The 13,751-nt window shown below is 39.4% G+C and overlaps 1 protein-coding gene and 1 pseudogene across 4 annotated transcripts, besides 2 other annotated features; one reads left to right on the top strand and one right to left on the bottom strand.

The window, feature by feature from the left end:
* RNU6-30P (RNA, U6 small nuclear 30, pseudogene) lies at positions 986–1,091 on the top strand (annotated as a pseudogene).
* On the bottom strand, positions 7,255–11,947 carry ARMCX3 (armadillo repeat containing X-linked 3). 4 transcript variants are annotated; one of them, NM_177948.3, is made up of 5 exons: positions 11,668–11,947; positions 11,205–11,312; positions 10,880–10,940; positions 10,548–10,618; positions 7,255–10,264 (listed from the first exon to the last, which is right to left on the bottom strand). In NM_177948.3, the coding sequence occupies exon 5, from the start codon at positions 10,116–10,118 to the stop codon at positions 8,979–8,981; it is 1,140 nt and encodes a 379-aa protein (NP_808817.1). In that variant the 5' UTR covers positions 10,119–10,264; positions 10,548–10,618; positions 10,880–10,940; positions 11,205–11,312; positions 11,668–11,947; the 3' UTR covers positions 7,255–8,978. The 4 variants fall into 4 exon arrangements, with proteins under 4 accessions (NP_808817.1, XP_005262198.1, NP_057691.1 ...); XM_005262141.4 differs by having other exon boundaries at positions 11,205–11,284; NM_016607.4 differs by having other exon boundaries at positions 11,822–11,947.
* Positions 10,158–11,357: an enhancer, noted in NCBI's record as "BRD4-independent group 4 enhancer chrX:100878731-100879930 (GRCh37/hg19 assembly coordinates)". NCBI's record gives its function as "activates an origin of replication core promoter dependent on BRD2, P300/CBP, MED14 and CDK7 cofactors, and independent of BRD4, by STARR-seq in HCT116 cells {active_cell/tissue: HCT116}" and the evidence as "EXISTENCE:reporter gene assay evidence [ECO:0000049][PMID:35650434]".
* Positions 11,555–11,614: an enhancer, noted in NCBI's record as "active region_29812". NCBI's record gives its function as "activates an Ori minimal core promoter by ATAC-STARR-seq in GM12878 lymphoblastoid cells {active_cell/tissue: GM12878}" and the evidence as "EXISTENCE:reporter gene assay evidence [ECO:0000049][PMID:35858748]".

Here is a 13,751-nt window from a genome sequence, read left to right as displayed (position 1 = left end):
CATAAAACAAAATGAAGAGAATAAAATCAAGGGTATTAACTGTTGCACTAAAGGTAAAAGGGCACAGACCATGATAGTGAATTAAAAATCCAACTATATGTTCTTTACAAGAAACACACCTACAGCATAGCAACAAAGAAATGTTGAAACAGATCAGTGAGTGAGGAGATATCAGGCATAAGCAAGCAAAAAGAAAACATGGTTGAAAATATTAATATAAGCCAAAGGAAGCTCTAAAACACAATTTAAATCATTATTTGTATGAATAAAAATGGCACAACTAAAGAAATTATAAGTAATACTTTTGTATGTACCAAACAGCATTGCAACTAAACAGATAAAGCAAAAACTGTTAGAATTACAAGGAGAACTTTAATACACCTCTATCGGAATTTGACCAACCCATTAGATGAAAAGATAATCAAAGACATAGAGGATCTAAATAATCAACCAATGATATTAACTCAATAGAAAGAAATTTGCATGATATAAGGAGAGAATGTGCATCTTTTTTCTTACATGTATAAAACTTTTAACAAATCGATCATGTCCTCAAAAACATAAAAATACATTAATAAATTCCAAAAAGGAGAGAATATATAGGCATATCCTCTTAACAAAATAAAATTAGAAATTAATAATAAAAATGATCATAGTAATTGCCTGATAATATAGCAATATTCTCCAAAATAACCCCTACGTCAAAAAGAAAATTAAAAATAAAATTGCAAGTTATATGGAAAGCAAAGAAAAAGAGAACACATCATATCAAACTGTACTGTGGCATGGCTGAAGATATACCCAGAGAAAAACCCATAGTCATAATTACCATTATTATTCAATAAAACCATAAATAAAAGAAATACACACTCTTCTTGAAGAAATTCAAAAGCACGAGAGAAATAATCCAAAGGCAGTAGAAGAAATTAGTAAAATTAAAGTTTAAGATAATGACCAAAAAAGCCAATTGTAAAAGTGATAAATAGTGCTCGCTTCGGCAGCACATATACTAAAATTGTAACGATACAGAGAAGATTAGCATGGCCCCCGCGCAAGGATGACACGCAAATTCGTGAAGCATTCCATATATTTTTGAACAATGAGAACACATGGACACAGGGAAGGGAACATCACACCGGGTCCTGTTAGTGGGTGGGTGGCTAGGGGAGGGATAACATCAGGAGAAATACCTAATGTAGGTGACAGGTTGATGGGTGCAGCAAACCACCATGGCACGTGTATACCTATGAAACAAAACTGCAGATTCTGCACATGTAACCCAGAACTTAAAGTGTAATTTAAAAAGTGATAAAAAGTTGGTTTTTTTTAAATCACCAATAAAATACATAAACATCATGAGTATGACTAAGAAAACACAGGGAAAGCAAAAGCATACAAATTATGATTAAAGGGTTGAACCACACAAATAGATGTGATTATTATAAATCACATGAGTAATTTATTATTATATTATAATTATTATTATTATAATTTTACACACAAACATATGACATCAAAATTGAAAATCTAAAGATAACATATAATTTCCTAATAGAATAGAAGTTACCAACATTAACTCAAGAAATAGAAAATTTGACTAGAACAATTACTACAGATGAGATCGGAAATGTGTTTGTAGATTTACCATTGTAAAACAAACCAAAAGTTTTGCAGTTGGGTTCTAACTAACCTTTAAGGAAAAGATAATACCAATGTTATCTAAACTCTACCAGAAAACAGGAAAAAATGGAAAGTTCACTAATGATTTTATAAAGCTAGCAAAGCTGAGACCAAAATCTGTTAAAGATAGTACATAAAAAGGTAACTATAAGCAGTTATCAATGATAAACATAAAAAAAATAAAATATTAACAAACTCTAAAATATGTAGACAAACAGATCTCAGAAGTATAGCAAGAAAAAAACTGTACTATTACCTGATAGGGATAGATCCACAAAGGCAAAAATAAATAGTCAAACACCAAATTCTTTTTTGTTTTTTGTTTTGTTTTGTTTTTGTTTTTGAGACAGGTCTCACTCTGTCACCCAAGCTAGAGTTCAATGGCACAATCACGGCTCACTGTAGCCTCGACCTCTCAGGCTCAGGTGATCCTCCCACCTCGGCTTCCCAGATAGCTGGGACTACAGGCTGAATTCTCTTTTCTAAAAAAGTTTTTTTTCTATGTGCGTTTTGAGACAGATAGTGTCTTTTTTCCCCCAGGAATTCTATCAATATAATTAATTACATAAAATATTTGGGAAGGCCGAGGTGAGTGGATCACCTGAGGTCAGGAGTTCAAGGCCAGCCTGACCAACATGGAGAAACCCCATCTCTACTAAAAATACAAAATTAGCTGGGCGTGGTGGTGCATGCCTGTAATCCCAGCTACTTGGGAGGCTGAGGCAAGAGAATTGCTTGAACCCGAGAGGTGGAGGTTGCCGTGAGCTGGGATCGCACCATTGTACTCCATCCTGGGTGACAAAAGCGAAGCTCTGTCTCAAAAAAAAAAAAAAAATTAAAGGAGAAAAAGTGCATGATTCTGTTAATAGATGTTGAAAAGCCACTAGGGAAAAAATCAGCAGCTAATCCTAACAGACACTAATAGAAATAGAAGGGGATGACTTAAATATTAAAAGCACTTTTTACCAACAATCAACAGCAATCCTCATTCAGACCATGAAATGCCAAAGTAATTCCCACTAAAACCAGAAACGAGTCACTGTTACTCACAATTTCCATTCTTATTCAAGTGTTTTTTGAGATTATAACTATTGCAATAAGATAAGAAATAGTGTAAAATTGGGAAAAGATAAAATTAATTTATATTTACAACTGATAATGATTGTATTCTTCTAAAAAACAAGGGACTATTTAAAAATTAGAAAGTCAATCAGCAAATTAGAAAAGGTGGTGGAACATAAGAAATATTTTTTAAATCAACAGCTTTTCTCTATTCTAGCAAGTTTTTAGAGTATTACACTATAGAGCCCATGTGTCAACATTATTCTTTTATTTCTTTTGATTAAAAGAACATGTATCACTCGTAAATGACTATCATCTATCTATCAAACTCATCAAACTAGTGCATAGAATGATTGCATCAATTGCTAGTTCAACCAATTGTATCAGTCTCAATGTCCCTCTGACACTTATTTTATTTTTTATTACACTATTATATGATTTACTATTTTTTCCATTTGTACCCAAGTTTATTTTATAAATTTAAACTATTTCACCATGTTTGATAAGCATATTACTTTATCTTGTAAGTGTCCACCAAAATGTCTTAACTCATAGTGCCTAAACCCTCTATATCTGACAATTCATTCTATGCTTCAAAAAGATCAGTTTCTTATCTTTGGTTCCAAGCACACATGATAATATATAATAACTGTCTTGTTGGAAGACTGGAATAGCCAGTAGACTTTCAAACTCTCAAGTACACTGATTAGATTACTCACTGTCATGTGTCCTAGGACAACATTAAGGTTTTTTTTTTTTTGAAAACTTAATTTTAATGTTTATTTTTTGGGGGTACATAGTAAGTGTGTATATTATGGGATAAATGTAATGTTTTGATACAGGCATGCAATGTGAAATAAGCACATCATGGAGAATGAGGCATCCATCCCCTCAAGCATTTATCCTTTAAGTTACAAGCAATCCAATTACACTCTTTGAGTTATTTTAGAATGTACAATTAAGTTATTATTGACTATAGTTGGAAAAACCTAAGATTGCTTTCAATGAAGTGTTGTCACATTCACTTAGGCCACTTATTAGACTACCTTTTACAAACTGTGACAATTTTGGTAAGAATGTCAAGAATATGAAATCCTTGAACATTGTTGGTGGGAATGTAAATTAGTACAGCCATTTTGGAAAAGAGTATGGAGGCCCCTCAAAAAACTAAAATTTTAATTACCATATTATCCAGCAATCCCACTTCTGCATATATATTCAAAGGAATTGAAATCAGTGTATCAAAGAGATATCTTCACTCCCATGTTCATTGCAGCATTATTCACAATAGCCAAGATGTGGAATCAACCTAAGTGTCCATCATTGGATGGATAAAGAAAATGTGGCACATGCAAATGGAAATACAATGGAAACAATGCAGCCTTTAAAAAGAAGAAAATTCTAGCCAGCCGGGTGTACTGGCACTGGCCTGTAGTCCTAGCTAATTCAGAGGCTGGGGTGGGAGGATCTCTTGAGCCCAGGAGTTCGATACCAGCATGGGCAACGTAATGAGACTCTTATGTCTTATGTCTCTTAAAAAAAAAAAAGAAGGAAAATTTGTCAGTTGCAACATTTGCAATAACATGTTAATCTAGAAAACATTGTACTAGGTGAAATAAGTCAGGCACAAAAAGACAAATAATGCATGATCTCACTTATATGTGGAATCTTAAAAAGTCGAATTCATAGAAGTAGAGTAGAATGGTAGTTACCACGGGATGGGGGTAAGGGGAGGCACAAGGAAAGGAGAGATGTTTCTTAAAGGGCACAAAGTTTCAGTTAGACAAATGGATTAAGTTCTAGTAGCCTATTTCATTGCATGGGGACTATACTTAATAATAACATATTGTATATTCCAAAATTGCTTAAAAAGTAGATTTTAAGTGTTCCCACCACAAAAGATTAGTATGTTAGGTGTTGTATGTTAATAGGCCTGTTTTAATCATTCCACAATGTATTCATGTATCATAACATGATACTGTACTCCATAAATACATACTTTTTATTATTCGTCATTTTTTTAAAAATATAATTTAAAAAATTAATCACACTGCTAAAAAAAAGTATATTTCTCTTAAACTCTTTTTGATAGCCAATTTGATCATATATGTTAATAGTCATAAAACTACCACCCACCGATGCTCTACCTCTGCTAAAGGAGCATCTGGGCAGACAAAATTTATAATTGTGTCCAGGGAGAAATGTGCTGCATCTCTTGAATACAAGAATTGGATTTCAGCAATAACTTTATCCTCACAGTGGAGATGGATCCACCAAGTTCTCCTACTTTGAGGGCACCCTGTCAGAATAAAGTTACCTCTCTGATAAGGCTTCCTTCACTCCCTTCTCCCCTCTCCCTCCTCTCCCATCTATCCCCTAAAGCATACATTGCCCAAGCCCTTAGCACAATACCTGAGAGGGCCCCAGTGGAGAGGGTCAAGCACTGAGCTATGCCACTCAGATAAGTAAATATTACTTATCCTGCTAATACCATACCCTCGGGGCAGGGCAGATAAGGGACCCCAGGATGGTGGTGACACGGCTCTGGCTTAAAAGCAAGAAAGAGCCATGGTTTAAACAGAAAAACCGGAAAAAAATCTTCAGCCTGGGATGCGATGCAAAATAAATGTAAAAAGCTAGCATTGAAAATAGTATGAATCATTATCTAAAAGGCCATTCTCAAGGGAACTTAGCAAAGAAATTAATGAAAGAGAGCCATAAACATAAAATTTGCCTGAACCACATCAATTTGCTAAGCCTACACTTGGAATCTCTTTTGAAAAAAGACAGGTAAAATGTGAATTTTTCAAAAAAGAAAATCCATTTCCTGAGCCTTGAAATATTATGTATATTGGCTGACAATTTACAACAGAACAACACTCCACTTTTGTAAAATCGCCTTTGAACATGTTTGCACTGGGATAGATCCACTTATATTCCTAAAACTGTTAGATGAGAACAAAACCAAAATAGCAGGACATCCTCTGAGTTTCTGGTTTCCTTGGTTTCCCAGAAGCTGCCATCCTCTCTAAAGAGAAGACACTGCCTCCTCCATGTGCCAATGGGCTGCCATAATCAGCTACAATCCTAGAACTCTGCCCCTTCCAAAAGGATTGAGAGTGACAACCTCCTATGTGAAAACATTGGGACATCAACCTGTGACCTGGCTGCCTGGACCAAGCAGTCACACATCTATCTCATACACCTTTCCCAGACTCCGGGTTATTCAGTCTAAATAAGACCGGGTACAGGACATCAAAAATTCATGCAGTGCACATGTGGCCGTGACAAGTTAAGACTAGTTCCTTCTCAGTCTCTTTTTGTCCAACAAAGGTTCCAAAAATTCTTGGCATCCAGTCACACCCAGGGTCAACTTATGACCAGAGCAATGACAGTTATTATTCTGTATTAAATGCCCACTGATACATGGCATGGCGTCATGGGAATTGAAGGGTCAGAGAAGCCCAGAGAGGCTACCACCAATGATCTCCCAGAAGGATAAAATAAAGAAAAGTAGGAGGAAGGAAGTGGAAAGAAGAATGAGAAGGAACAAAGGAATGGGGAAAGGAGCAGATGGGTGCTAGTCAGGCCTATACCTGCCTCACTGGGGATTTTTACTACTCGAGTTAGCCTCATTTTCACCCCAGGTGTAAAAGTCGCTCCGCATCTCAAGTTCAACATGGCTTGATCTGGATTTTTGTTAGATGTTCAAGCTACATATCTGGGTCAAGGCACAAGTTTGTACTCATCAACTCTATTTTTTCAAGTATTATATCTCCAATGAATATTATTCTTTTTTTGAGGAAAAAAGTTTTAAATCAGGCACTGAAAATTTTTCAATAGTATGATCCAATTTTATGTAAAGAATATATAAGTATATGAATAGTAAAAGTGTCTGGAAGGGTATACATTGTTTCAATTCTGTGCTTCTCTCCCCAGCTGCCCATAGTCCCTTACAGTTCTTTTGCAACCCTTCACTCTGACTCTGCACCTTCTCTCTGAAGGGCCACATCTGCTTCCATGTGCTCCATTATCATCCATCCTCCAATGGCTCTCAAATCCTTATTTGCAGCCTGTTCATCTCCTCTGAGCACCAGATCAATCATTCAAATGACAATAGGATATCCCCATCTGAGTGTCACGCAGGTACATCAAACTGAATTTATTTTAAAGGAATTAATCCTCCCCACTCCATCTCCCCACAAATCTCTCTCTCTCACCTAACAATAGGAACAAGAAAAAATGTTAGTTCACTTTTCCATCACCCCATTACAGTACATACAGGGAAACCTGGGTATAAAACCAGGTAAGTGAATAGAGGATTTTACCCTTTCCTGGCCTCATATATAAAGCAGGATAACATCCCCCAAACAACTAGAAATATATTGTGGAGGCTGGTGTGATCATGTCTGAGGAAACACTTTGGATTTTTAGGAAAGAAAGAAAACTCTACTCCTGTGAGAAATTATTTTAACAGTTGCCTTGCAGGAATGATAGAACTTTACACAGTAGTCACTTAATAAATGTTAACCTTTATTGTTACTATTATTTATTAAATGACACTAAAACATGGCAGAATGCCCCAGCAAAACAAAAGTCAACCAAAAAACTAACAACCCTGCATTCTAGGTAATTAAGGGTGCTCGATTTTCTTAATTAATTACTATGTGCCAGAACATTGTAAGTACTTTGCATATATTACCTCACTGAATCCTCACAATAAGCCTTATCTTCACCATTTATCTATCATTTCAGAGAAGAAACTTCAACCTACCTCATTTTTAATCTAAATATTTCTTCCATTCAGTATGTTTTCCAATCAATCACTTGCTTCATTCCCAACACTTTTCTTTTTCAAAACCGTCCTAAAAATCAATACCCATTTTAGATAAATAAAAACACAAAGATGAATAAAAAGTAAAAAAGTAAAGATCACTCATTATTCTTCTACCCAAAGATAACTACTGTTTCTATCTGGATATCTATAACTCCAGTTTTTAGTGTCCTTTTAAACATATGTTTTATTAGTCTCAAAAAATGGAACTATACTTCGAATACTTCTATCTACCCTTTTTTACTTTCTGACTTCACAACGCATAATGAATAGCTTTTCCTGGCAATATAGATTTCCATCAGCATACTTATAATATCCTACTGTGTGAACATTCCTTGCTTTATAACCAATCCAATGTGCTAGATACTTAAATTGTTTCCAATTTTTACTAGCTTAGACAGTGCTGGGATGAACAGCCTCATACATACAATCTTTGGGCAATTATTCAATTACTTCCTTAGGACAAGGGTTTACATAGTTTAAGGCTTATATCTGTATTACCAAATGGCCACCACTAGGATGTGAAAGGCTCCATTTTGCCACACCCTCATTGACACTACTCAGTAATAGAGACTTTCATATGGACCCCAATTATTTTCTAGTAAAAAAAGATTTAGTGGCTCTGGGTATTCAATGGGATAATATTCAAACAATTCTCCACAACTGGCTTCACCCAGCTTTCCAAAATTATCTACTCCCACTCTCCACACTCTCCACTCTAAGCAGAATGATCTCCTGTCATAGGAAGAGGGTTCCTACTTCCATGCCTTTCTCACACCATGCCCCCCTTGTCTTGTCTCATGGAATTCCCTAACCACCCTACCCCATTCAGGACTCATTTTCAATTGCCACCTCCTCTGTGAAGCTTTAGCCGACTAGCACATCCCACAGAAGCTTTTGCCTCCTCTGTGCTCTCAGAGGGAACATCTGACAATGAGTACATGCTTCAGATATTCTGTTATCTTTTGGTTTGTACGTTTCTTATCTCTCCAACTAGATTATAAACTGAAGGACAGGGATGGTTTCTTTCTTTCTTCTTTTTTTCTTTCCAGCATTAACATACAATTTTATTGATGATACACAAATTAAATCAATGAAAATGACAGAAGGGAGCTTACTCATGATGAATTGGTTCACTGTCACTTATGCAGAAGAAATAGCAAAATATTTCAATCTAGGCAGCGAGATAAAAAGCAACAAACATGTTTTCAGAACAAGTAGTGATATTCATTTATCCATCTTAAACCTAAAGACCAACTCAGTTAAATATCAGCATTGATGATACAATATGATATTCATTATTCAAAACTGGCAGCTGAAAGGATTCCTTTACCATATAAACAAGGTGGAGAAAATGAATAGTTTACAATGTGTGTTGCTTCTAAATTACAAAATCAAGGTGTTATTCCTGGCTCTTTGGGAACATATGTTCAGCAAGTTTGGCCATGAATTTTCCAACTTTTACTTTCACCAAAAAATCATGGTGACTTTCTATTCCCAGAACCTTATCAGCACACACTTGAAATTCTTTTAAAAAGAAAAAAAGTGAACCTTCACCGAATTGATTCTGAGTAGGTTCATTTTCTTCCCATTTGAAATTATCATTTATGTTCTCAAATATGACCAGAAGTTTAAGAATAACTTCTTTGTTCTCCTTCTTATTAAAGAGGGAGCCCAGTGAAGATGGTACTTGGGCCCTGAGCAGTTCCCTAGTCATGGCTGGATTTTCAGCCAAATTCAAAAGGAGTTTCAGAACCTGAAGTTTGGTTTCTTCATTTCCCGCTGAAAATAAACGAAAAAAGTCAGAAATGGAATTAGCAAGCATGTGCTGATACTCATTAGTAACAGTCATATTTGTAAGCAATCTCAGTCCAGCAAGCTGCACAGATGAGTTCAAGCGAGAAGTGATTGTGTCATCACACACTTGATTCATGTATACTTTAAGCCTGCGCTGATTTTCAGCATTCACACTCAAGTTATTCAGGACAATTAAAGCCTTTTCCTTAACTATGGGATCCCGAGTATTGAGAATCTTTGCGACAATTGGGAGACCACCCAGATCACGAATAATATCTCTGTTAAATGCATAAGCAGCATTGTTACCCAGAGCAATTAAAGCTGCTTCAAGAATATAAGGCTTTTCAGACATCTCAACCAAGCAAAGAACCTTTTGTAGCTCTTGAGGGGACAAAACGGTATCATCTGAATTGGGGGAAGCCCGTTTCTGGACAGCCCGACGTGCCCGGGTAGCCCTGGCCCTTGCCCTGGCCCTAGCTCTGGTTCCAGCTTCAGTCCCAATCCGAGCCCAAGGTGGGTACCATACTATACTCTTGCTCTCATTGCTGTCATCATCATCATCAGACCAGTCATTATACCTGGCCCCAGAACAGTCCCCAGCATCATCCACATCCCCAGATCCACCCTCAGCCATTTTTTCCTTGTTCTGTTTTCTTCCCCTAGTCAGTCTATAAATGCAATAGCAGGCGCCAGCCCCAATCACCAGGCCTGCGGTCACCCAGCCTACTTTCCTGGCGTAGCCCATGCAATCGTCCCCGACAATAGCAGGGACCAAGGAATAGAGTAGTCACTCAGGCTGGGGGAGGAAGGCTGTGGGACTGGGCTCAAGCCTGTGGAGGGTGATCGTCTTCAGCCACTTCAAGGCCACAAGAGCTGATTCTGGGGGTTGACCTAGGAGTGGAAGAAGAAAATTGGGTTTGAGTTTCTCTTCTGCTTGTGTTGCCCCATGCAGGGAGCTGCACAGAGGGACAAGATAATAATAATTGAATGCTAGGTAGGAAATGTAGATTGTTGACGAAATCTCTATGCCTCTCATTTCAGCCTTTCCCTCCCCATCCCAGGTCACCCCGCCCAAAGCCTAGATAATGTCAATGGAATCCACAGACTCTGCTGGGGTCTCAGTCACCACAACCTCAGATGTCCCTAGGGACCTGACTAGAACCCTTGCACTAACCTCCTCAAGACAAGCAGTTCGCCCCTTCTTCTTTTCCCTAGTGGTGTGCCACTCCCAACAATCTTTCCAATCTGCAGAGAGACCAGAGCCAGTGAGAATGGAGCACTTGATGGGTTGACTGTTGATTCGTTGCTTTCCTGATTCACCATTCCGGTTATCAGGTTTGTTTTTAACCTCTTTATGCTATCCCAGACATGCACAGGTCTGCCCCCTCCCTAGCCTGAAATGGGAGGGAGGTAAGGAAAATAAAGCAGGATTGGAAGAGCCTGTCCAAAGTGCCGGCGATTTCTAACCCCTCCCCCATTCCAGGCAGCCCCCACGCCCACACCGACCTCTACTGATCGGAGGAAACTTCCTCCCTCGCTTCAAGCGGAGCCACCTGCTACAGCAGACCTGCAGGATGACAGATCGAAAACATGGAGAGTAAGTGCTGTTGAGAGAGGAGGATTACGAACAAACTATCCGATAGGTTTCCCTGCTGTCATTTCCCCCACTTCCCCCCAACCACAGACACACAAAGCACGCCATTTCGCCACAGTCCGGGGAGTGCAAGAAACACATTCGGACTCAGACATGTACCTAGATTATTACCTTCTCTGCCTTCTCCCCACCCCCGCCGCCACCCCCGTCCCTCCTAGGGTCCCCAGATGGTCTTACCCTCAAATCGACCTCCACCGATTAGGATTAAATTCCTTCCTCTTCTTTTGCCTGGCGTTGTGCCGCAACCTACAGAAAGACTGGCCACCCGGGAGAGGCTTGGACCCACTAGACACAGAGCCATGGTCAGTAAGACACAGCCACAGGCAGAAAGACGGGAAACTGCCGCCACTGAGCGCTTGGTGGACGGACTAGTCCCCAGAACACAAAACTCTTTTCTAATTCGGAGGCCTGGTTGTCAGAGGTTTCCCACCCCTATTACCTCTCTTGGGGTTCTGCTGACATATCGCGTTGCATCTCACCACCCCCGCCCCCATATCCAGCCATTCCCCTCCGGCACTGTCCTGGTGGACTAGGGGCCAACACCCAGGCCACAGCTCCCTTTCCGGATTGCGGCCCTAGGCTCCCAGCAGATTCCCATTTCCCAGTCTCTGAGCTCTTCCCCAAACACCCCGCAGCTCACCGTTTCGCAGCATCGAAATGGGCTGCAAGCGGGACATATGTCTTGGAAAGCGGGCGGCGAGTGGGAGAGACGACGGAGGCGCCTCAGTACCCGCGACGGTCTCGGCCCTACGCCCTCAAGCACCCCGACTTTATGGAATCTTCCAGGTACTGACCTGCAGGGATTCGGGACAATTTCCTTCTCCTCTTCCTTTTTCCCTCCGCCGCAGGCCGGCCCGCCCTCAGGGCAGTGGGGAGCTGGTACTCAGACGGGAACAACGACCAGGACAAGAAGGACTTCTGCACACGTCAGCTCTTGGTCACGTGAGGGCTACGTCATCCACCAACTCGGGTCCCCAATTTCCCCTCCCACCAGCAGTGCGGCAGAAGAGGGCCCGCCCCCCTCCTTTCCCTCCCCCACACCAGGCCTTATTACTCTTTCTTCTTCGATAATCTCATCACCTTGTAGTTGTGTTTCCCTTCCACCGATTACCAGAAAGGGACGGCATCTTCCCCTGGGGCTATGGGCCACTTGTACTTTTATGAAAAATTGCCTCTTCCTTCCCTAGGCTCCTGGGACAGCAGCCTCTCCCTCCACCTCCCCTCCCCCGAGCTATGAAAGTCTACCATTTCCTCTGAAATCTAGTCCCAGATCTGAAAGGAACAAGCGATCAGAAAAGAAAATCTGGAATGAGAGTGTGGTTTTTACTTTCTTAATACTTTGTTATTTTTGTTCCGTCCTCCCCCACCCCCAGCCTGCATTCTTTTTATGAGAAAAAAAAATACTATAAAGCTATTTCCATTTTAGAAAAAAATGAGTGGAGGCTGAAGAATGATGTTGGGTGATGGCCTCCAAAAGTCCCACATTTTCTCACTTGGTGGAGAGTGTTACACACTTCACTCAAAGCAATCTTAATGTCTTCTGGGGCCTAGCACACAGCACAGCCCTGAGTGAGCTAATCAGTGTGTCTGGCAATACGTAAGTCTTCTGACTAGACCAGTCTTCTGAATAGAAGAGCTACAGACTTTCACCTGCACCCATTAGCAAGGAGGAGGCATTAAACCCACAAAAGCCAGAACGCAGAAAAAAAAAAAACTGAGGAGAAAACATAAGTGCACAGTAGGTATCTGTGAGATAAAGCATGCACACTGAAAAAATGAGTGTGCATAAAAAGAACATTACAAAATATGCTTGGGCAAAATAGAGAATATCATCTATAAATGAAATAAGTATTAGAGGAACACAGACCAAGACAAAATTGGCTGAAACTGGGACCTAGCAATTAGTATGAAACTATTTTACTTACTGGTTTGATAAACTGAATAATTCACCCATCATCAATGATTTACCTTTTTTAAAGTAGGAAAAGGAATAAAATAATTACATCCCCTCATTATTTAAGTTAACCAGATTTGATTTCAGTTGCTTGCAACCAAACCACCTTAACTAAAGCACAACACAAAAACAGGTAACAATACAAAAAGTAATATAGCTTTTCAGAACATAGGGTCTTCAGTGAGATATTCACTAATAGTTTGAATAAAAGGTTATTATTTGAGTATAACTTTTAAAATACACAGACAATATGGGAGTAAATCAAGAGACTGAGGAAGTTGAGAACAGGCAAACCCCCAGGAAAATTCATATCTGTGTAACTTCTGGGAGGCAGTACTAGAATGTGATTGAAATTTATTTAGTAAACAGAAACCAAATCAACTATATGATCCTGTGTTTAGAGAAAGATCATGTGTAGCAAAGGGGCTTATTCAAGCATAGGAATATATGAAAAGGACAGTCAGAAGAAAGTGTTGGTATTTCCCACCCAAGCACTGCCTGGAGGAGAAAAAGTGTTGGCTAAGGAGAATGGAACATTTCACTTTCTCTGGCAGAGTCATGCCCATGATGTGTAATAGTACTTCATGCGTCCTCAGCTGAAACCCCCTTCTTAAAATGAACAAATACCCTTGCTCTGATTGCAGGCTCACCAAACAACCTTCTAAGGTTGTGGTTTCCCAAGTAGTAGCTTGTCTACAGGGAAAGAATAGGCAGGTAAGACTGACGGAAACCTCCAGTACCCCCTGACAATTGTATTTCTGAGGGCAAAT

The sequence above is a fragment of the Homo sapiens genome, chromosome X (assembly GCF_000001405.40).
Source record: "Homo sapiens chromosome X, GRCh38.p14 Primary Assembly".
NCBI classification, from domain to species: Eukaryota; Metazoa; Chordata; class Mammalia; order Primates; family Hominidae; genus Homo; species Homo sapiens.
This window is presented reverse-complemented; position numbering and strand designations above follow the sequence as displayed.

Bases quoted from the DNA above. Each gene is read 5' to 3' on its own strand.
- ARMCX3 (NM_177948.3), bottom strand. From the start codon at position 10,118: ATGGGCTACGCCAGGAAAGTAGGCTGGGTGACCGCAGGCCTGGTGATT.